This window comes from Homo sapiens, chromosome 2 (assembly GCF_000001405.40).
Source record: "Homo sapiens chromosome 2, GRCh38.p14 Primary Assembly".
NCBI lineage: Eukaryota > Metazoa > Chordata > Mammalia > Primates > Hominidae > Homo > Homo sapiens.
The window spans coordinates 51,523,177-51,548,149 of NC_000002.12; the positions used below are offsets into that span (position 1 = coordinate 51,523,177).

At 34.2% G+C, this 24,973-nt stretch overlaps 1 long non-coding RNA gene across 1 annotated transcript in view; it reads left to right on the forward strand.

Moving 5' to 3' along the window:
• NRXN1-DT (NRXN1 divergent transcript) overlaps positions 1 to 24,973 on the forward strand; it is a 1,375,317-nt gene that overhangs the window by 490,576 nt on the left and 859,768 nt on the right. The window contains exon 5 of the long non-coding RNA NR_135237.1: positions 4,426 to 4,484. This is a non-coding gene — a long non-coding RNA (NRXN1 divergent transcript). The remainder of the gene's footprint in view (positions 1 to 4,425; positions 4,485 to 24,973) is intronic.

The window sequence follows — 24,973 nt, forward strand, 5'->3', positions numbered from 1 at the left end:
GCTGCTGTATTTTACTGTTTTAGAAGTAAAAATTCAGAAAAACACCTTATTTTAGAAAGGCATAATGGTGTAGCAGTTTATAAAAATTGATCCCTTTCCAATTGTTAACAGGCAATAATGACAACATATAGGTAGAATTTTTGAGCATATGAAATATATTAGACATCCACTACACACACACCCTTTATTTGCATAGATTCCTTTTGATGCCCCAAAGAAGGCTGTGATTTGGGTGCTGTGATGGTCTTTTGATTTGTCACCTTGTCTAGTCTACAGCCCTCAGTTATTCAACCAAACACTAACTGTTGCTATGAACGTATTATGTAGATGTGAGACAGCTGACGTTAAATAAAAAGATTATTCTAGATAATTTTTTGGCCCTGAATCAATCAGTAGAAAGGTCTTAATAGAAGAGCTGAGGCTGTCTTGATGAAGAATTTCTGCTTTTGTATAGTAGTTACAGCCCATGCCTGAGAGCTTTTCCCCCCTGTGGAACTTATACTTGCCTAGGCCACCCAAAATTGTGTACGCCAATTCCTTTGTATGTGTGTGTGTGTGTGTGTGTGTGTGTGTGTGTATGTGTATGTGTATGTGTGTGTGTATATATATGTGTGTGTATGTGTAAATGTGTGTGTGTGTGTGTGTGTACACACACACATATATGAGAACTCTGACTATTTCAGGGACTATTACCATACCCATTTTATAGAATATAAAAAGTTAAATTCCTTATCTAGGGTGGAGTTAACTTACAGGGGCTGGGATAAGGAACTGTACCTTTACTAACAAGTGCAGAGCTTACACCCTTAAAAACCATGTCCTAATATCTTCTAGAATAAAGGGTGTGAGTTATAAATGAACAGTATTTAGGGTTATACGTGATCAGCAGACATTTCACCTGGCTTCCAACCATTCCTTAGAAATGAAGAAGTGGACCTTGATATCAGACAGAGCTTTTAACATATTCTTTAGAGTATGTTGAAAATAGAAAACAGTTTACTGAATATAGTTCTCATTAGTGAAAGTGGGCTAAGACAGGCCCAATTTTTTTCAGGCTATAATCAGACTCTCATAAGAAATGGTATATATAGATATCTGGAGTGGGAGGATCCTATTCTACTATTACTGTTAAGATTCTGGCAAAGACTATAGCAGAAAAGACATATTTAGCTCTTCCATTCCTCTTCCCAGCTCCCCATTTAGAATTCTGCTTTTCAGTTTGGGTATAATGTGCATTTTGCCTTCAAAACGACTTTTTTCTATTTATCTCCACAACAACTCTAAGAAATAGTGTTGTTATTTTCTCTTTTTGTCAGCCATGAAATGTAAGACTTAAAGAAAATAAAAATAGGCTTGCTTAAGGTCATAGAGCCAGTAAGTGACCAAATCAAAATGTAAAAGCAGTTTTTCCAAGTCCATTCTACTTTTATGCACCTGCATTTTATTATCTTTCAGGCAGTGTTTCTTTCTTCCATGTTTCTAGACGACCCAATCTATGATTTTAGAAAGAAGGAAACACCAAGAAAAAATGTTTTACTCATGGTTCATGCAGTGGAAATGACAGAATAAACAAATTTTCCTTTTCTTTTGCTGCACAACAAATTACCACAAACTTAGCTATTTATAACAAAATCTGTTTATGAGCTCTGTTTTCATAGTTCTGAAGTCCGACATGGCATGGTTGATCAAGGTCTCAGATGGCTGAAATCAAACTGTCAACAAATGCTGTGGTTCTCATCTGGAGTGTGGGATTTTTCCCTAAATCAATGGTTGTTCTAGAATTCATATTCTTCTCATGCTTTTGACACTACCCACTCTATCTTCAAGCCAACAAGAGTAGGTCAAATCTTCCTCATACTTTGAATCTCCCTGATTTCCCTTCCATCTTGTTCTTCTGATTTTAAGGGCTCTGTACCACTAGCTGTGTATCGTTGGGGGTCATGTAAACTCTTTTTTCTTTCTTTCTTTTTTTTTTTTTTTTTTTCGAGATGGAGTCTCACTCTGTCATCCAGGCTTGAGTGCAGTGGCACAGTCTCAGCTCACTGCAACCTCAGTGTTCTGGGTTCAAGCGATTCTCCTGCCTCAGTCTCCCAAGTAGCTGAGATTAACAGGCACACACCACCACGCCAGGCTAATTTTTGTATTTTTAGAGGTGGGGTTTCACCATGTTGGTCTGGCTGGTCTCGAGCTCCTGACCTCATGGTCTGCCCACCTTTGCTTCCTAAAATGCTGGGATTACAGGAGTGAGCCACTGTGCCTGGCCATGTAAACTCTTAAGGCTTCTTTTCCTTAGATATAGAATCAGATCACTGAAATTACTTTTTTCTCCCAACAGATTACCTGACACATAGGAATCATTCTAGAGTCTCTTTTGGTCCTAAATTTAAATCATCTGAACAAGTAGCTCAGTAATAAAGATGTATTTTTTGCCAAATACGTGCCAAGATTCTCTGATTATACTCAATAAAAGTTCAGTAAATAAGAAAAAGTAAAAAGATGAATATGAGTAGTGCTTTTCAACTTATCCATATTTCACAAAGGGGGAAATTAAGCAAAACTAATAGAGCTTCTCAGATTCATGACCTCTTTGCAATACTTATGAATTTTATTAACTGTTGATTCATGTGAAACCCAGTATCTGTGATAGCTATGAGTCATGAACAGCAATTAATTAGACTGGTGTCACTCAAAAACTAAGGCCTAACAGAAGTCAATTCTGTAGAAGTCACCCACGTAGACTTTGTCATAAATTTGTTTCATATAGTTGCTGTCCTGACATTAATTTTAAAGCCTGACCTAAGTTCTTTGAAAGTCAGTTTACCTCATCACCTTTGGCCTAGCTAAAACTTCCTCTCCCTGTGTAGTTGTTTGAAATATAGCCTCATTCCACTGACCCAAACCCCATACACTCACAGCTGTTCAACATGATAAAACCTAATAGTCAAACACCAGAGTCTTGTAAATAAGTTCCTCTCTTACTGTGTGTTTTCTGTAAACTAGCCAATCCACAACCCCTGAAGGAAAGACTCCTCTTCTTTCCCTCCCCCACCAGTTGACCTCTGTACCTCCTCCAGGCTTCCCATAGACTTTGACCAGTGCCCCTAACATCTTTAGGACCTGTGAGTAATAAATTTCTTCCGTTTTATGCATTTCGATTTTACTTTCGCATTGTTTCTTACCTGAGACATACACCAAAACCTAACTCCCCTACCTACTACCCCTTTCATCTGCACTATCATAAAGAGCGGCTATCTTGGCTTCTCACCACTTTCGAGAGAGAGCCCTCAGTATCAAATTAGAAATAAGCCATAACAATGAAATCACAACTTAATACTGAACAATTAATAAATGATATTTTCAAAGCAAAAAAACTTATAGTTAGGCCTTTGTTGTTCATGGCTCCATATATTATAGGCAACCATGAAGTTAGTATTTAAAATATAGTCCTTTTTTACAATGTGTTCTTGGGAGGACATTGTCAATGGAGAACAGTTTTAAGTTGTTTTCCTACATATGTGTTGAATTTAAACCTCACCTACCAAAACCACTGTTTTAAATAAACAAAAACTTCTTTAAAAGCCCAAGTTAGCAAAATCAGTTTGCATTAACAGTATTGTGACCCTGGGAATGTAGGTATTAATCAAAATATGCTATCTTAAGGAAGACCTGAGAATAGAAATATTATGGAAAAACTTTAATGAGTTAGAGTTTCTAAAACTTCTAAACTTTGAGACACAAAGATTTATGTGTAGCTGTCTGTGAAGAGACATAGGCTCTTTCTGCTGAGTTTGCATTAATCAATATGTATCACAGGAAATAGACTCTAAAAGGAAGACTTGCATGCAGAAGGTTTATTAGGAAAGGACCTCAGGATATTCGATTTTAAGAAAGTGAAGGTAGGACTGGGCAGACTAAGAAGCTTACCTGTAATTTACCTTCAACTTAGGTCTTTGTAACCCCGTATCAACTAGTCATTGCATCCCCTGAGAGGAAGAAAAACCTACAAGACTAGACAATTCCTTGTAGTTAAGGACAATTCCCAGTGAGAGACATATCTATGACTCATCAGTAGCCAGTATTTCCAGCAGCTATAGGCTGGGTGCTATATTCGTTTTCTATTGCTGCTGTAACAAGTTACCACTTTGTTGCTTAAAACAACACACATGTATTATGTGAAAGCTCGGAAGGTCAAAAGTCCAAGATTGGTTTCACTGGGCTAAAATTAAGTGTCAAGAGGGTTTTTCACTGGAGATTCTAGGGAAGAATTCATTTTCTTTCTTCCTTTTTCAGCTTTTAGAGACCACCATCGTACCTTTGCTTCTGACCTCCTTACATCTTCCAAGTCAGCAGTAATTGCCAATCTAATTTTTCTCATGCTGCATGACTCTAACTGTGACACTTCTTTCTCCTTTTTTACTTTATTAGAAACCTTGTGATTACATTGAGCCTACCTGAATGATCCAGGATAATCGTCCCATATCAAGGTCAGTTGAGTAGCAACCTTAATTCCATCGGCAACTTTACATCCTCTTTTCCATGTAACAGACATGTTTGAGGGACTGTTAGTCCACCTACAACAGGTAAATTCATCCTGAAGAATGAGTGGCGCATACAGTATATAGTTGTCAGATTGGTGAATTAGACAGAAAAATAAATAGGGCTGCCTTTATAAATCTTTGAGAGGGGCACTAATTTCTGCCATCTTCTGCCAAAATGTGATATCTACCTTATATAGCTTAGGTAACACTCACATGCCATATACTCGGACACTGTAAATTTACATTTAAATGATTTTTGGTAAATTGATGAAGCTTTGCAGCCATCACTACAATCCAATATTAAGCATTTTCATTAACATAATAGTTTCTTCCTGCCCATTTTTAGTCCATTCTTATTCCCATAGCCAGTCCTAGACAATTATCTACTTTCTGTCCTATAGCTTTGCCATTTCTAGACATTTCATGTAAATATTATACCGTATACAGTCGTTCGTATCTGGCAAATGTGGTATGAATACAACACATTTTGTTTACTCATTTACTGGTTGATACACATTTGGGTTGCTTCCAGTTTGGGGCTGTTATGAATAATGCTAGTGTGAACATTCATATACAAGTCTTTGCATGGCCATATGCTTTTATTTTTATTGAGTAAATACCTAGGAGTGGAAAGGTAGGGCCATATGGTAGATGTACTTTTTTTCTGAAGAAACTGCCAAACTCTTTCCCAAAGTAGCTGAACCATTTTTATTCCCACCAGCAATGTGTGAGGGTTCCAATTTTTCCACTTCCTTGCCAACACTCATTTTATGTCTTTTTAATTACAGCCATTACTGTGTGTGCGGTGGTATCTCATTGTGTTCTTCAATTACATTTCCCTAATTACTAGTGATATTGAGCATCTTTTCATGTGCATATTAGGCATTCATATGTGTTCTTTGGTAAAATGTTTATTCAAATATTTCAACTATCGTTTACTTGGAATTTATGTCTTTTAAATATTGATTTGAAAATATTGATATTTTCTAGATGTAAGTCCTTTATCAGATATATGACTTATAAATATGGCTTGTATTTCATTTTATGTTGTGTTTCAAGTATAAAAGTTTCTAATGTTCATGAAGTTCAACAATATAATGTTTTTAATAAATCATATTTTTGTACTGTAGCCAAGAGATTTTTGCCTATCCAAAGGCCATAAAGATTATCTCCTAGGTTTTCTCCAGAAGTTTTATAGTATTAGTTCTTATACAATATTTACATCTGTGACCCATTTTGATTTAATTTTTGTGTATAGTGTGGGGTAAGTTGCTAAGTTCTTTATTCTTCTTTTCTGTTGTTTTTGCATAGGAATACTAAGTTGTTCTATTACTATTTCTTCAAAAGCCCATTCTCTCACCATTTAATTATCTTTGATTCTTTACTAAAAATAACCAAATTAAGAGTTTATTTCCAAACTTTGAATTTGGTCCAGTTAGTCTATATGCTTATCTGTATGTACATTATGATTACATTGTCTTTATTACTGTACTTTGAAAGTTTAGAAGTCAGGTATCCTATGCTTTCCAACTTTGTTCTTTTTAAAAATTTTTTTGACTATTTTAAAGCTATTATATTTACATAATAATTGTAATGATAGGCTTGTCAATTTCTACCCAAAAAATCTGATAAGCTCATGGAGACTTTTTTGAATCAATAGATCAATTTAGGGTGAGTTCGCAATTTGGGGAGAGATCAAAAGAATTATTGAATCTTTCTATCTATGAACGTGGGATTTTTACCAATTCATTTGGATCGTTGAACAGTTTTCCTAGCAATCTTTTATAGATTTTCAACGGACAAGGGTTGCATTTTTTAAATTAATTCCTGAGTAGTATTTTGTTTGTTGTTTTTGTGAATGGAATTTTAAAAAATTATGTTTGCAGAATATTCATTGTAAGTGTATAAAAATATAATTGATTTTTGCATATTGATTTTATTACCTGTGACCATATTAAATGTGTTTATCAAATCTAGTAGGTATGTGTATGTGATTTCCTCAGAATTTTCTACATAGAGGATTATGACATATGTGAATTAATATACATAATAAATGGTTTTGATTCTTTCTTTTGAAAGAAAGTACTAGCTAGAAATTCTTGTACACTGTTGAATAGATACAGTGAAAGTGGACATCTTTCAGTCTTTCACCATTAAGTATGATATTGATTGTAAGTTTTCTTGTTGGGTGCCTTTTAATAGTTTGAGAAAATTCTCATCTTTTTCTAATTGGCTAAGCATTTCATCAGAAATAGATGTCGGCTATGTCAAATACAGTATCTGAATCTACTGAGATGATACTGTATGCTTTTCTTCCATTATTAATATTATGTATTACATGGATTTATTTTTTGGATGCTAATATAGTCTTGCATTTTTGTGGAAATCCCAGATGATGATGGTGTGTAATCCTTTTTAAATATTACTGAATTCAGTTTGCAAATATTTTAAGAACATTTGCTTATTAGGACATTATGTATTTTCCTTTTCTTGTGATGTTTTTGTGTGATTTGGCATCAGGGAGAATCCAGCCTCAAAGAGTGATTTGGGATATGTTCTCTCCTCTATTTTTTGAGGTTCATTAAGGGTTAGCATTTTATTTTCAGTATTTTATTTTAATTTTTTGTCAGCAACACAATTCTTTTGTTTTATTAAGTATTATTAGAGTTTTATGGTCTTTAGAAACAAAAAACAAACAGTAAATATTCTGTTGAAATTATCTACTTGATAGGTCTTGATTTAAAACTTACGTTTTTTTAACTTTTCTTTTAGATTTGAGGGGGTACATTTGAGTTTGTTACATAGGTAAACTCATGTCACAGGGGTTTGCTGGACAGATTATTTTATCACCCAGGAATTAAGCCCAGTGCCTCATAGTTATCTTTTGTACTCTTCTCCCTCCTCCCACCCTCCACCCTCAAGAAGACCCCAGTGTCTGTCGTTTCCTCCTTTGCGTTTGTAAGTTCTCATCGTTTAGCTCCCACTTATAAGTGAGAACATACGCTATTTGGTTTTCTGTTCCTGTATTAGTTTGCTGAGGATAATGGCCTCCAGCTCCATCTATGTTCCTGTGAAAGATATGATCTCATTCTTTTTATGGCTGCATAGTATTCCATGGTGTGTATGTACCACATCTTCTTTATCTAATCTGTCATTGATGGGCATTTAGGTTGATTTCATGTCTTTTGCTATTGTGAATAGGGCTGCAATGAACATTCACGTGCATGTGTCTTTACGGTAGAATGATTTTTATTTTTCTGGGTATATACCCAGTAATGGGATTGTTGGGTTGAATGGTAGTTCTGCTTTTAGCTCTTTGAGGAATCGCCATACTGTTTTCCTTTACACCATGGTTAAACTAATTTACACTCCTCCCAACAGTGTATAAGTGTTCCATTTTTTCTGCAACCCCACCAGCATCGCTATTTTTAAATTTTTTAATAGTAGCCATTCTGACTATTGTGAGATGGTATCTAATTGTGGCTTTCATTTGTGTTTCTCTAATGATCAGTGATACTGAGTTTTTTTCATATGTTTGTTGGCCACATGTATGTCTTTTGAAAAGTGCCTGTTCATGTCCTTTGCCCACTTTTTAATGGGGTTGTTTGTTTTTTAGATGCAGAGTCATATCATCTGCAAACAGAGATAGTTTGACTTCCTTTCTTCTTCTTCGGGTGCCCTCTGTTTCTTTCTCTTGCCTGATTACCCTGGCTGGGACTTTCAGTACTACTTTGAATAGGAGTGGTGAGAGAGGACATCCTTGTCTTGTGCTGGTTTTCAAGGGGAATAATATTTTTAGTACTTACCAGTGTGGCCATCTAGGTCTGAGTTTGACTTTTCTTTGTTCGAAGATATTTTATTAGATTACAGTGTTTGTTATATATTTATTTTAACATCTGATTTTTTCAGTCGCTTTTGGTAATTTGCATCTTTGTAGAAACATATCCATTTAATGTAAGTTATGCAATTTGTGGGCCTAGAGTTGTTCATAGTATTCCTTTTTAATGTTTTTAATTTTGGAAGGGTTAGTGATAATGTCCCTTTTAATTCCAGATTTTAGTGATCTGTGTCTTCTCCCTCTTTTTTTTTTATTCAGACTAGCTAAATATTTGTTAATTTTATTAATCGTTTCTGAAAAACCAACTTTTGTTTTCATTAATTTTTTTCAAGTGTTTTTCCTATTTTATTAATTTTCACTTTTTTATTTCATTTCTTCTGCTAGATTCAGGTTTAGTTTGCTCTCCATTTTCTGGTTTATTAAAGTGGAAAATTAGATGATTGATTTGAAGCTATTTGTTTTTTATGACACATTGTACAAATGACAGATTTGTCTCCATGTACAGTTTTAGTGGTTTCTCATCAGTTTGAATATAACTTTATTTTCCTTTTTTTCAGCATATTTTCTATTTTCCTTTTTCTTATTTGTGTTATTGGTTAACCACAATCATCGTGTTTCCTTTCTAAGTGCTTGGTTATTTCCCTTACGTTTTCTCTGTAGCTTTCAAATTTAATCTTTTTGGCATTGGAAAATACACGTTTGTATCATTTTAATCGCTTTAAATTTGTTATGTTGCTTTGTGATCCAGTATATGGTCTATCCTGAAATGTGTTCCCTTTGGACTTGGAAGGAATGTGAATTCTCCTGACATTTGGTGGAATATGCTATAAAAGATCAAGCTGCCTAACACTACTGCTCATATCTTTTTAATACTGTTCAAATTATCTATATTTTTGCTGAATTTTTGTCTAGTTGCTCTGTTACTGATACTACTATATGAACTCTCCAACTAATATTATTGAATTTTCTATTTGTCCTTTCACTTCTATCAGTTGTTGCTTCAGGTAGTCTTAAAATATCTTTCTGATGTATTGAACTTTTCTTTTTTGTTGTTTGTTTTTTTTTTTGTCTCAAGTTATAGTTCTTATATTAGGCTTTTTTGTCTGCTTCTAATATAGCCACTCTACCTCTTTTAGGGTTACTGTTTGCATTCTATATATTTTACTATACATTTATTCTCAAACTATGGTATTATAGTTTATGTCTTGTAGATGTAAATGGATTTTATTTTGTTTATTCTGTTTAAGTATTTTGCCATTTCATTAGTATGTTTAGTCCATTTATATTTAATGTTATTATTGATATATTTGTATCTGTCATTTTGTTGTATGATTTTTATATATCTCATAACCTGTTTCTGTCTTCTACTTTCACTACTTCCTTTTTTTTAAGTATTTTAGGGTACCAATTTAATTCCTCTGCTAATTTATTTTTCAAATATTAATATTTGAGGTTGAAATATGCATCTTAACATTTATAACAGCCTGCATCAGATTAATGTTAACTTAATTCTGGTTAAATGTAGGAACTGTATTCCAATAAAGTTTAATTTTCTTATTCATTCTTTGTGTTGTTATTGTCATATATATTATGTCTATGTAGGCCATAAACCCAAAAGTACAGTATTGTAGTTACTGTTTTATATAAATATATGTCTTTTAAACAATTTAAAGACAATAGAAACTTTTATTTTTATCATATATTTACTTTTTCTGGTTGTCTTAATTTTGTCCTTTGTGTTTTTAAGTTACCATTTGGTGTTACTTCCTTTCAGACTAAAGGATTTGCTATGTTATTTCATGGAAATCAAGTCTTCTATTGATAAATTTTATTTTATTTTAATTTTAATTTGTGTTTATATAGGAGTGTTTTTATTTCACCTTTATTTATGATTTATTTATTTTATTTACTTATTTTGAGACTGAGACTCATTCTGTTGCCCACGCTGGGGTGCAGTGGTATGACCTCGGCTCATCACAACCTCCGCCTCCTGGGTTCAAGCGATTCTCCTGCCTCAGCCTCCTGAGTAGCTGGGATTACAGGCGCCTGCCACTGTGCCCGCTAATTTTTTGTAATTTTAGTAGAGACAGGGTTTTACCATGTTGGTCAGGCTGGTCTTGAACTCCTAACCTCGTGATTTGTCCGCCTCGGCCTCCCAAAGTGCTGGGATTACAGGCATGAGCCACCTTACCTGGCCTCACCTTTATTTTTGAACAAGCATTTTGCTGGTCATAAAATTCTTTGTTGACAGGTGTTGTTTGTTTTCTTTAACCTTGCAAATACAACATTTCACTGCCTTTATATTGCCATCTTATCTGATGAGACGTCAGCTGTTACTTGTATTGTTCTACTGTAGGTGATGCATCATTTTCATCCTTTTGCTTGCAAAATTTTTCTCTATTTTTCAACCCCTTTACTTTTTTGTGTCTAGGTGGAGATCTCTTTGCATTTTTCCTATTTAGATTTATTTTCTTGGATGGGTTGATGAATGTTTTTAAGCATATTTGGGAAGGTTTTATTCATTCTTTGTACATGTATGTTTTCGTCTTAACCCACAGATCAAGCAACCAGTGCAAGTGTTCTGCTAACTAGCCAGTTTATAGACTTCAATTACAAAATTGTATAATTATTAATATTATTTAATCATTATTTAGCTATACACTTTATATCATTCATTAATTGTATAAAGTGTATAATCCAATTATACACTGAGAAAACAACTAGTATATGGGTCTCTGGATCTTGTAAATTAATTATGAGCTGGTCCCAGGCCAGGACGCATTTATTATCTGGCTGCCATCTGCCCTCATCTTAACAATGGCAGGCTTGGGCCTGCTGGCTCATGCTTGTAATCTCAGCACTTTGGGAGACTGAAGCGGGTGGAACACTTGAGCCCAGGAGTTTGAAACCAGTCTGAGCAACACGGAGAAACCCAGACTCTACCAAAATAAAAATTAAAAAAAATTAGCCAGGTATTGTGGTACACACTTGTAGTCTCAGCTTCTTGGGAGGCTGAGGTGGGAGAATCACTAACCCTGGGAAGCAAAGGCTGTAGTGACCCTTGGTCATGCCATTGCACTCAAGCCTGGGTGTTGGAGTGAGACTCTGCCTCAAAAAAACAAACAACAAAAAAATGGTGGAAGTAATTGGTGATTTGGTTCTTTGAATATCAATTTCAATCAAGTTCCTATATTTAATAATTCTTAAAGTATATTGGCACTCCCTTTACTCATTACATGGTTTTGTGGGTAGAATGTTCCTATGAACCACTGCTGAATACTCTGGTCGCAATATTGTAGTTTGTGATCGTAGAATTTGACCTCCAAATCAGTCAGTGGATTGTACATCTGAAAACTGACTCCGTACCGAAAATTGGGCAAAATATTGCAACTTTTTATTGGGAAAGCTACTCTCATCCTAATGATAATCAATTCTTGATTAATTTTGTTTATACAAATAAGTGATAAATATGTTTCTTACTTTTAGAAACTGTTGTAGAATTTCATCCAGGGTGTCAAATTACATTTAGTCTTCATATCTTCTCAGGTTCATCTTGGCTGTGATAGTTTCTCAGAATTTTCTTGTTTCTGATAACCTTGACAATTTTGAGAAGCAGTAATCAGCCATTTTGTAAAGTGTTACTCAGTTGGCGTTTATCTGATGTTGTTCTCATAACTATACTGAGATCATGCATTCCAGGGAGGAAAACCACAGAGGTAAAGTGCCATTTCCAATGTATCAAAGTTACATTGTCTCAACGTGACTTTCTGTTAATATTAACCTTTAGTGGGGTAGTCTTTACCATTTTTCTCCACTGTAGAGTTATTTTTAATTTTTTGCCTTTCCATGTGGTACTCACTGTAAGGCATACACTATATGCAGCCATATTAAGAACACATTGCCTATGTAACAAACCTGCACGTCTTGCACATGTATCCCAGTACTTTAAATTAAACTACAAAAAAAGAAGAAATGAAGCACTATGCTCCGTCTTCTCCAGGGTAGAGCTTCTATATAAATATTTGAAGCTCTGCATGGACGATTTGGCTCTTCTACATTTATTTATATCAGTATGGAATCATAGGTTTTTGTAAGTTTGGGTTATAATTTCATATTTATTTAGCTCAAAGTTTTCCAACTTTGGCCATTGCTAGCTCTTATAGTTGTTTCCCGGGTCATTTTGACATACTTTCATTTTTTTTAAAAAACATTTTAACTTACCAGCATTACTACACATTCATCTCATCTTATATATTTCCTTCCCCAGACTTAGATTCAGCAATCTCTCCAAAGTGTCTTGGTTTCTTTTTTCTAGAATGGCATTACAAAACAAGATCTAGGTGTTAGGTATGTGCATAGATACCAGAGCGTCATTACTTCCAGGCCCTTTAAGTTGACAGGCAAAGAAAAAATGCTAACTTGCATATACACACATTTCTATCAATATTCTGTATGTAACCATATGTACCTATATAAAGCTAAACACGATTTTACACTGATCTCTCCAACTGTAATCCATTAACACATGAGTCATTCTGGCTTTCTTGTCTTCCTTATCTGTAACTTTTCACTCTGATAATATAAAATCTGGCTCCCACCACCTGTCATTCATTTACTTAATTGTTCAATTCAATTATACATCTATAGTGGTATCAAAATCATTAACCTGTACCCAAATGGGAAACATCTGTATTAAGTAGAGTACAGTGCACACATACAGCTTCTTTTGCCTTTCATCATACCAAATTCACTCATTTCTAAAATTATTTATATTAACATATTATTCTAACTCCACTGAGGTTATTTCATGCATTTATAAGTAAGTTTTCTTTTTTTACATATTGCATTCCATCCTTGGATCCCTTCAGTTCCTAAATGATTTCTTAAAAATAGGTACAATTAAGGTTGACTCTATGCTAAAAAGTTCTGTGGGTCTTGGCAAATGCGTAGTGTCATGTATCTATCATTATAATGTCATACAGCATGGTTTCACTGCCCTAAAGAATTGCCTGTGCTTCACCTATTCAACTTTCATCCTTTCTTGGAAATCACTGGTCTGTTTACCATGTTTATAGTTTACCTTTTCCAGAATGTCATATATTTGGAATTGTAGAGCATATGGCTTTTTCAGACTGGCTTCTTCTATTTAACAGTATGCATTTCAGATTTGTCCATGTCTTTACCTAGCTTAATAACTCATTTTCTATGGCTAAATAATATTATATTGTGTGTGTGTGTATATATATATGTATATATGTGTATATATATATACACACATATATATATGTAGCAGTTTGTTTATCCACTCATTTATTGAAGTATATCTTGATTGTTTTCAGCTTGGGGTGATTATGAATCTGCTATAAACATTCATGAGCAGGTTTCTGTGTAGACATAAATTTTAAAATCACATGAGTAAATATCTAGTAGTGAGATTACTGAATCACATGGTGAAACTACATTTAGCATGGTAAAAAGCTGCCAGACTGTCTGCCAAAGTGGCCCTACCAATTTTTTATTCCCACCACCAATGATTGAGTGTTCCTATTACTCCTCACCAGGGATTAATATTGCCAGATTTTTGGATTTTAACCATTCTGAGTAGTCATTTTGGATTTTAGCCATTGTAAATGAGTAGTCATTCTCCAAGCAATTTTTGTAAAGAAAATTGCAAGTCTTATAAAAGACACTGCTGTCAATTGTTTTATGTGGCTGTGGAGAGTACTCTTTAGTAGTATACTTTATAATAGTTATGTATATCGTTAGGGTTAATTATACTTATTACTGAATTTTGCTGAGGCTTATACCTATGCTTTGGATTAAACTAAACTAGAATTTTACCTTTTTAAAAATTTAAACAACTTTATTATTAAACAGAATTACCCAGCCCAAATAAGCTATGCAATGATTAGTATGGCTGACCATTGGTTTTATGAACATGGTTCTACCTCATATGGTTAAAGGTAAAAATTTTTAACATAATCATAGCCTAGATAACATTTTGATTTTCTTTCCAGTTACATAATTCGTAGCACTTCCAGATACCAAGCTTAATTTTTCCATTTATTCATGCATTTAGAAATGTTAATTATGTTTAGGTAATATGTGTCTCACTTTCTTTCATGCTCATATTAAGGGAAAATAAATTTCCAATAAAATGTCCTTCTTGTATGTTATAATCTACATCTTTATTTCCAAATTGGATAATTATTAGGCATATATTTAATAGCTACCCCAGGTTAAAAATGCTCAATATGACCTTAACTTTGAGAATGAAACATGCAATTTTCACTGTTTATTTAATTTTGCTATTTAACGTGCAATTTTAAAAGTGCAGTAGATCCTTTTACATTATTAACTGTCTTATATTTGTTTAAACTGTAGTCTTTTATATTGGATTCTAAAGAATGGAATTATATCTAAATTAGATCTTAGGATTAAGAATGATCTGTTTTATAAATATGGTTCTCACTTTATATAATAAAGCTATCCTTAAAATATGTAAATCTAGTATTTGTAAATAAAAGAATATTTTTAAATGAATACTAAATAGGTGGGAGGAACTTACTAAAGAATCTGACTGTAATATTTCAAAATGACAAATTATCTTAAAAACCAAAGTCTGTTTTCATTCAAATACTTATTTCTTTAAGATTAAACAGCCTAAGTTCAAAAACGTGCTTTTTCTTTTTGGTTCTATATATTTGAGGTACATTTACTTACTTCTCTTAATTTGTGGATGACAGTAAAAAGACAGAATTTAATTAACTTGGCCAAGGTCACATATCTGGAAAGTGATAAACAGAATATGACAGGAGTAGAATACATGTTTTTCTATCCAAAAATAAATGAACTTGGCCGAGCACAGCAGCTCTTGCCTGTAATCCTAGGACTTTGGAAGGCAGAGGTGAGTGGATTGCTTGAGCTCAAGAGTTCAAGGCCAGCCTGGGAAACATGGCGAAACCTCATCTCTACAAAAATTAAAAAATTAACTGGGCATGGTGGCATGTGCCTGTAGTCCCAGCTACTCAGGAGGCTGAGGTGGGAGGATTGCTTGAGCCCAGGAGGCAGAGGTTGCAGTGAGCCGAGATAGTGCCACAGTACTCCAGCCTGGGTGACAGAGCCAGAGCCTGTCTCGAAAATAAATAAATGAATAAACTTAAAAAGGGTTTACGCTACATTTACATTTGTGTTGTACTCCTAATCAGAATTAGTTAAAAACAGTGAATTACCAAGTACAGGAGTGGGGAGTAAAGCCTAGCTATATTTGTATCATGACAATAATGGCATTGAATTTTGCTAGAAAAAATGCAGGAAAAAAAGCAGTCAACTTATACAAATTGGTCTCTTAAACATTTTTAAATGAAATGTTCTGCTCTTAGCAATTGTGTCCTAGCTTTTTTTCAGACCAGCCTTCCCACTGAAAATAACTAAAAACTGTACTAAATAATAACAATAACCATATGTTTGGAAACATCAGAAAGCTACCAAGCTAGCAAGAATTTGAAGGACCAAGACTCCCCAAAAAAGGGAAGACGAGAAAGGTGAGCCCATTATTTTGAATCACGTTTCTTCCTCAGAGAATTTGCTCATTCAAAAGCTGGGACTTGGAAGCTCAGGAGAGCTTTCTCCATCTAACATGGAAAGAGAAAGTGGGTATTTGAGTTTAGGTCTCAAGAAAGTTGGGGCTCCACACTCATTTGGGAGTCCCAAAGGGCTAAAGCTAAGGAAAAGAATAAAGAAATGTATGATTGTTCACAAAGTCTGAAGTCCAGCTTCAAATCTCTTCATCCATTGAGTAGATAACAATGACTTGCACAAAACATAACTGCCCTATAAAACATCAAACTTCATAAAAATAAAGAGAATTTTAAGAAAAAAAAAAAGACAATACTTTCAAACCTGCAGCTATGAGACTGAGAGCCGATTTCTTGAAGGAAAAAATGACAGCTAGAAAACAACGGACAGACTCTGAGTTCAGAAAGAACTAAATACCAAAATAGAATTCTTTAATATTGCTGCCATCAGAATACTCCTCTCAAATTTTCACCTGCATTAACTACAATTGACTTAAACCCCCATCTTCTGGGCTCTGAAACCCATGCCTGAATTTGCTCCCAGGCTAATTTCCCACAGACTGCTCTTAGCGAATGACTGCATGGCAAGGTCACTAAGGCAAGCCCATTTCTAGGAAAGAGACTCAGGACTCTTTGATGGGCATCTGTGACCTGAGGACTCACTCATGGGCTTAGTGAATTTTTTATTATTATTATACTTTAAGTTCTAGGGTACATGTGCACAACGTGCAGGTTTGTTACATATGTATATATGTGCCATGTTGGTGTGCTGCACCCATTAACTCGTCATTTACATTACGTATTTCTCCTAATGCTATCCCTCCCCCATCCCCCAACCCCATGACAGGCCCCGGTGTGTGACGTTCCCCTCCCTGTGTCCAGTTGTTCTCGTTGTTCAATTCCCACCTATGAGTGAGAACATGTGGTGTTTGGTTTTCTGTCCTTGCGATAGTTTGCTCAGAATGATGGTTTCCAGCTTCATCCATGTCACTACAAAGGACATGAACTGATCATTTTTTATGGCTGCATAGTATTCCATGGTGTATATGTGTCACATTTTCTTAATCCAATCTATCATTGATGGACATTTGGGTTGGTTCCAAGTCTTTGCTATTGTGACTAGCACTGCAGTAAACATACGAGTGCATGGGTCTTTATAGTAGAATGATTTATAATCCTTTGGGTATATACCCAGTAATGGGATGGCTGGGTCAAATGGTATTTCTAGTTCGAGATCCTTGAGGAATCACCACACTGTCTTCCACAATGGTTGAAGTAGTTTACAGTCCATCAACAGTGTAAAAGTGTTCCTATTTCTCCACATCCTCTCCAGCACCTGTTGTTTCCTGACTTTTTAATGATTGCCATTCTAACTGGTGTGAGATGGTATCTCATTGTGGTTTTGATTTGCATTTCTCTCATGACCAGTGATGATGAGCAATATCATGAAAATGGCCATACTGCCCAAGGTTATTTATAGATTCAATGCCATCCCCATCAAGCTACCAATGACTTTCTTCATAGAATTGGGAAAAACTACTTTAAAGTTCATATGGAACCAAAAAAGAACCCACATTGCCAAGACAATCCTAAGCAAGAAGAACAAAGCTGGAGGCATCATGCTTCCTGACTTCAAACTATTCTATGAGGCTACAGTAACCAAAACAGCATGGTACTGGTACCAAAACAGAGATATAGACCAATGGAACAGAACAGAGGCCTCAGAAATAACACCACACACCTACAACCATGTGATCTTTAACAAACCTGACAAAAACAAGAAATGGAGAAAGGATTCCCTATTTAATAAATAGTGCTGGGAAAATTGGCTAGCCATATGTAGAAAGCTGAAACTGGATCCCTTCCTAACACCTTATACAAAAATTAATTGAAGATGGATTAAAGACTTAAATGTTAGACCTAAAACCATAAAAACCCTAGAAGAAAACCTAGGCAATGCCATTCAGGACATAGGCATGGGCAAGGACTTCATGACTAAAACACCAAAAGCAATGGCAACAAAAGCCAAAATTGACAAATGGGATCTAATTAAACTAAAGAACTTCTACATAGCAAAAAAAGAAAAAAAAAAACTACCATCAGAGTGAACAGGCAACCTACAAAATGGGAGAAAATTTTTGCAATCTACCCATCTGACAAAGGGCTAATATCCAGAATCTACGAAGAATTTAAACAAATTTACAAGAAAAAATCAACCCCATCAAAAAGTGGGCAAAGGATATGAAGAGACCCTTTCCAAAGAAGACATGTATGCAGCCAACAGACACATGAAAAAAGGCTTAGTAACTTTTTTCTAGAAATATATGTTAGACTGAGATACTTCCAACTACCCTTATCCCATTTCTCCCTTCTTCCCTTTATCTTTCAGAGTCTGACCTGCATTATCTGAGGAAATTTCCAACCTTTGCCTGTTCCTTCCTCATTTGCTTTTACAGTCATTTTCTCTAATACATTTCTTTTATGTCAAGTACTTTTTTGTCATCTGTTTCTTAGAACATCCTGCTATTAAAAAAATCTCTATAAAATGAAGTGATAATAGAGATATTATCATGATAAATAAGGCAAAAAATTTGACAGAATTCATCAGGTACCAAATTGCAAAACAGGAAACATGAAAAGTATCACTAAAGGAAGAAGAAACATTTTCCCAGATGGAAGTACAGAGATGCAAAACAGGAAAAAAAAAGTGGAGACAGAATAAATAAACCTGTGAATATAATGCATGTTCACTGTAGAAAATTACGATGATACCAATGTCTTATGAGGTTAAATAATACATGACAATAAAAGAACAAAAGTCAAATAACGTAATATGTAGTTGAAGATCTCTTAGGTTCTTGTGTTACTTATGGAAGTGAGCACCTTAAGCATGAGTAGGATTTGTGGATGTCCTCGGATTTCACTCCAGGAAAGGTGGCAGTGGTGAAGGGATTCTGCCTATGTAATTAAGGTGACTTGTCATTTGACTTTAAGGTAATTAGGAGATTAACCTTGCTAGGCTTGACAAGTTAGATGAGCCCTTGAAAAGAGGGTCCAGACCTTTCATAGAGAGAGAGAGACAGAGATAGAGATGGAGATAGAGCTACATAGAATGAGAGACAGAGAGAGTGTGTCTTGCTTGTTTTGAAGACCTAAGCTGCTTTGGGAAGGCCTCTTGGCTGAAACCTAAGGGTACCCTCTAGGAACTGAGTGACTGCTTTTCAAGGACCAATAGAAAAGCATTGACTTCAGTCTTATAGCTGCGCCAACCTGCAGTAAGCTTGAGAAAGAGCCCCAAATAGCAGATGGGATTCAGATTATTAGCAGAGTTCCCAGCTAAATGGGGTCTGGACTCCTGAAACCCAGAGATTATAAGATAATAAATGTGCCTTGTTTCAGGCTGCTACATTTTTGCTAATTTGTAACATTGCATTTATAAAATTATAGCTTTTATAGTTGTTATGTTAAAAACAGGTCTTACCCGACGATAAGTGTAAGTAAGACAAAAGGTCTTACTAGAGATAAGGAGGCATATTTTATAATAATAATTAACATACCAAAACATATACAACTCAAAAACACTTATGTAACTAATAAAATTGTCTGTAATTTACATAAGTCCAACTTTAAAAATTATTAGGAATAAATTCACTGTTACTGTAGCAGATTTTACCGTACCTTTATTTGAAACAACCATTTATTTCTGTTTCTAAGATATATTTCAAATATATCGCTTGAACAGTAATATTGTGATTTACAGAATTTTTTAAAATTACCAAGAAAATAACTTGAAGAAGGAGATAAAGAGTGAATTCAGAAGGCTAGATAGATTTTGAAATTACCATCGCTCAAATCTATTCCTCTAGTAATAATTCATACCTTCAGGTTGAAATAAATCTTCAGGTTAGTTATCTTGCATACATTGTTTTTGAGATTAAAATGCCAGTGACATCATTAGTCTGGATAGCAGGGCTAAATTAGTTTCATTAGATTTTTGTGCCAATATTTTGTTCAATTCATTTAAATGGATTGATACATATCTAATTAGGAAATAATTTCCATTAGATAAAAACACTAAATATAAAACTGAGACATTTATAACCTTTGTCTTATACAAATGTATTTTTTATTGCAACGGGTAGTGTTTCAATGGCTGTAATTTACTTCAAGATATATCATTATGCATTAAGTATATATGTGTCAGTATATTCAGTGACTTTAGGTTAGGAACTGTACTACTTCAAAATGTATATTTAATGGATGGTTACAATATCAGATATGTTACATTCCATAGCATGTACCACTACAATAAACACTTTGCTTTTTCATATCTCCATCAGCACTTGAGATTAACATTGATTTATTTTTAAATAATAGACATTTTAATTAGTATAATTATAATTAAAGATAGACATTCACTGATGGAACTGAAAGAATTCAAGAAATATAGATTAACAAAAATATTTTAGACACACTCCTCATCTTTGCATGAGTAGGATATCAGCATCTAGAGAGATCACTTCCTTGCTTCTTTAAGGATGGCATCTGAAGCTGCATCCTTCAGTGGTCCTCTATCCAGTCAAAGGTTTGGGATAATTCTGATTCAATGATATCAATTAAAATGGTAAAAATAATTGCTTCTGGAAAATTGTTTCATATCCCTGGCATGAATATTTCATATAAGGTGGTATTTAAACCGCCCAAACATACAGCTGGAAATTATTGGATTTACTGAATATGTTGCATTAAATGTGTTGTGGCTGGGTGAGGGGGCTCACGCCTGTAATTCCAGCACTTTGGGAAGCCAAGGTGGGTGGATCACTGGAGGCCAGAAGTTCAAGACCAGCCTGGCCAACATGGTGAAATCCTGTGTCTTCTAAAAATAGAAAACTTAGCCGGAAGTGGTGGTGCATGCCTGTAATCCCAGCTACTCGGGAGTCTGAGGCACGAGAATCGCTTGAACCCTGGAAGTGGAGGACAAAGTGAGCCAAGATTGCATTGCTGCACTGCAGAGTGGGCAACAGAGCAAGACCCTGTCTAAAAAAAAAAAAAAGAATGTGCTGTGACTGCTAACACACACTTGTTTCATAAGTACATGTATGTTTGGCAGAATTTGTACTGAGATTCACTTAATTTTAAAACCTTCAAATGAGATGGTAGACAATAGCTAAAATTAATGAATTTCATACCTAAAACTTCAAAACTAATCTAACAACTGTAAGTTATACATAACTGTATTTCCTTAGGTCAGTCCATTACCAAGGAACTATTAGAAGAAGAAAAGAAAAAAAAAAACTACATTCAAGGCAGAGAGAAAAGTAAGAGAAAATGCAAACAAAATGTGAAACTGTGAACTTTCAAAACATGAGTTCACACTCTGTTGCACACAACAAAAAGGCATTACAAACAAAATACAACAATTAAAAATGAAGAAAGTTAAGTCATTATAACCATGAGAAAAATATTGATGAGGGAAAGCATATGAAAATATTTTGGAGTTTTTGTTGTTTTTTTCTAATTTCAATTGTAAAATTAAATGTTCAGGTAGTAGACACTCAATATTTATTAAATGAAAAAGTTAATGGTTGAGCATATTAATAGATGAAGTTGAATTGTTTGAGATCTTGAACTTGAAGTTCATTATTAAATATTTTTGGGGTAAGGCAAGTAATGTTTTTTTCAGTAAGCATATAATTAAATCATGCATCCTGACTTGTATAAAATGACTAAATTTTATACAAGGAATAGACTGGAATAGAAAGAGATTGGGGGTAAGTAGGGGTAGGATGAGTGAAACCATAGAGGATATGATTACAGACTATGTAATGAGAAGTAATTGAGTATAAATATAAATTAAAAAGTGTAGGTATAATACTCAAAATTTTTTCGAGGGCTTATAATGTTCCAGCACTATTTTAAGTGTTTTACCTATCATAGTGATTTATTTTTTTATTTTTCATTTTATTTATAATCCCTCCTGAGTAGCTGAGATTACAGGCATGCACCACCACAACTGGCTAATTTTGATATTTTTAGTAGAGAAAGGGTTTTTGTCGTGTTGGCCAGGCTTATCTCCAACTCCTGACCTCAAGTGATCCACCCCTCTTTGGTCTCCCAAAGTGCTGGGATTACAGGCATGAGACACTCGGCCGAGGTCATAAAATAACTCCTTACGACCATCCTGTAAGATGAATACTATTATTACTCCCATTTTTCAGATGTACTCTTCATGCCACAGAGAATTGAGAGAGCTGGTAAATAATGGCACCAGAATTCAAACGTAAGCAGTCAAATCTGAGCGGACTCTAGAGATCAAATGTCTTAAACATTATGGAATAGGAGTGTATGACTGACTAACATCCAGTAATCATTAGGGAAAACAAACATGAGTGAGGACAACTGAAATAATTATGATACAATTAAGGGTGGTAGGTTACATTTGTATAGTTCTTTAAAATATGCATTATTCCACATGATCAGAAATATAAAAAGAACTAGACAGATACTGGTAGAGAGACAATTAATTTAAATTTGTAACATATTGCTTGGAGCAAGCATTCAAGTTGAGTGCTTAATGTGTATCGGTGACTGCACTGTGCAAATAAATTTGGGGTTAGTAAGAAAAAAGGGCCTAGAAAAATTAGAAGACTTATGCAATTTAACTATGTAAAATAGAAAAATTAAAAGTTAGCAAAAGTTAGAAGGCTTATGTACAAATAGATACAAAATTTATGACTTTAGGAAATGAAGTTATTAAGATAAGCTCCCTAAAAAGGTAATATAAAAATATTGAACATTTCCTTAGACATTTTCGTCAAGATTTTTATTCTATGCATAAATATATCTGAAGAGAAATGTAAATCAAATACATGTTTTGTCACCAAAATTCTTCTATTAATGATATCCTATTTTATAAAATATAAAGTAGGCAGAGGCAGTATTTACTAAAATATTAAGTTTGATTCATTTTGTATATAACCATTTTTCAACAATATGGTCTGTACAATATTTTATAGACCCATTAATTTAAAAAGCTTATTTTAAAAAGTTTAAAACTTATTCTACAATTATGTAAATTTTAAAATGATAGACGTAAATGGAGAGAACGAAAGAGTAAATCCTGACGTTCATGAGCTGGCCTAACTCTCACAGCGAGGGCATGCTATTCTCTTACTAGACATAAATAATCTTAGAGAATTCCAGCCTCACAATTCCTATCTCACAACCTCAATAGTAAGGATGCTGTGAGACCATGATAAAATGAGACAGTAAGGCAACTTCATAATTTTTTCTAAGCAGAAATAAAAGCAGGTTTCCTTTGCCACCCACAAAAATACCAAAATGCCCCGTTACTCAGCCAAAATTAGAGATTGACATTTCTTGATCAATTACAGTTTTAATCTTATACTAGTCTCCCCTTCCTTGTAGGTAAGATTTATTGAAGTAGCCAATTATAGAATTTCCCCCACTTTCTGACAGCACCCAATCTAGACTGAACCCCCACATACTTAGATGCATCCCTCAGTAATGCAACCAAAGACTAACTCCTATAGATTGTTTTTAACAATCTTTTACTGAGATACCCCAGTTTCCCCATAGCATGTGTTCTCCTTTGCTGCAATGAGTAATAAATCCACTGTGTGCAATTGCAGGGTTGGTTCCTGTGTATGTTTAGGTTGGGTCATTGACATAAAATAATTATTTATTCTTTTAGACACTCAAAACAATTTAATGCTTACTAAGTGATTAGCATTCTCTTAAAAATTGAAAATGTAAAGAAAATAAAATTCACGGTCTTTTTCCATTTAAGCAGCTCATAGCTAATGACTGAATGAAAGGAAAAATACCCAAAGTGATTAGTACAATTCTTTAAAGCATTAAAGAATAGAGTAACATGGAATTATTTCTAGTTTTGGTCGTTGAGATTATCTTGAGAGTGGTAACGGCTATGAAAGATAAGCCCTATTCTTCCAGGTACAGAAGGCAGTATTCACCGAAACAAACCCAACCTCAGATTTATTTTTTCTAAAACCCAGGTAGGTTTTTAATAGAAAGAAATACGCTATCATAGCCACTGATATTGTTTCATGATATTATGTGCATCTTTTAAAGCTGCCTTTATTTTTGGAAAAAGGTAGACTAGAAATGCTGTAATAGTTATTTTCTTTTAAAAAAGAAAAAAGTCAGCAAAATAGTGTCACATTAACCACTAGATAATTTTATTATAAAATTTTGTTAAAGACCATTGGAGACCAAAATGTGAGTTTCATAATTTTATTAGAATAAATGCATATAATTAGATTGTATAAATTTAGAAAGTTAACTGTATGACTTGTATTGTGTTCATAGTAAATGAATGAAATCATGTGAAGTCATGGAGCAGCATTAATAATCCCAAAATATCCATCTCCTATCAGTTTTGGGACTGAAAAGCCACCAATTCACAGTTAGTCACATGTGTATGAAGATTGAGAAAGTAGTTTAAATAATTTCTTCTAGAATTCTGGGGGAAAGGAACATGTTATGTTACCATCAAGTCATTTATTAATATGTCATTTATCTTAGTGATTAATATATTTCAAAAAGCTTTAGTTTCATACACGGAGAGCCCTACTAGAGTTGTGTATTTGCACTTGGCCAACCTAAGACTTTATTGATATTTGGATTAAACTACGTTAGTCTTGCTACATTCCTGTATGCTTAAAATAGAAGCTCAAAAAAGGGTACCCTTAGCTAAAGAATTTTTTTCTGTTTTCTTTTACAAGAGAAAAATAACTTCAGTTTAAAGTGAGTCTAAAGGACCATGAGTCTTAGAACATAAAATTTCCTATTATGTCATGAAGTAGAATGTCAATAACTTATGTCCAATAACTCAAAATGGATATTGAACTTTTATTTCTCTTTCATAAGTGAATCTCTTCGATCTCTATAACAAGACTACATACGTAGCTCAAGCACTAGTCAAAATTTAGCTTGATAGTAAGGTCTTCTGGGAATTTGAAACAGTAAATACATTGATG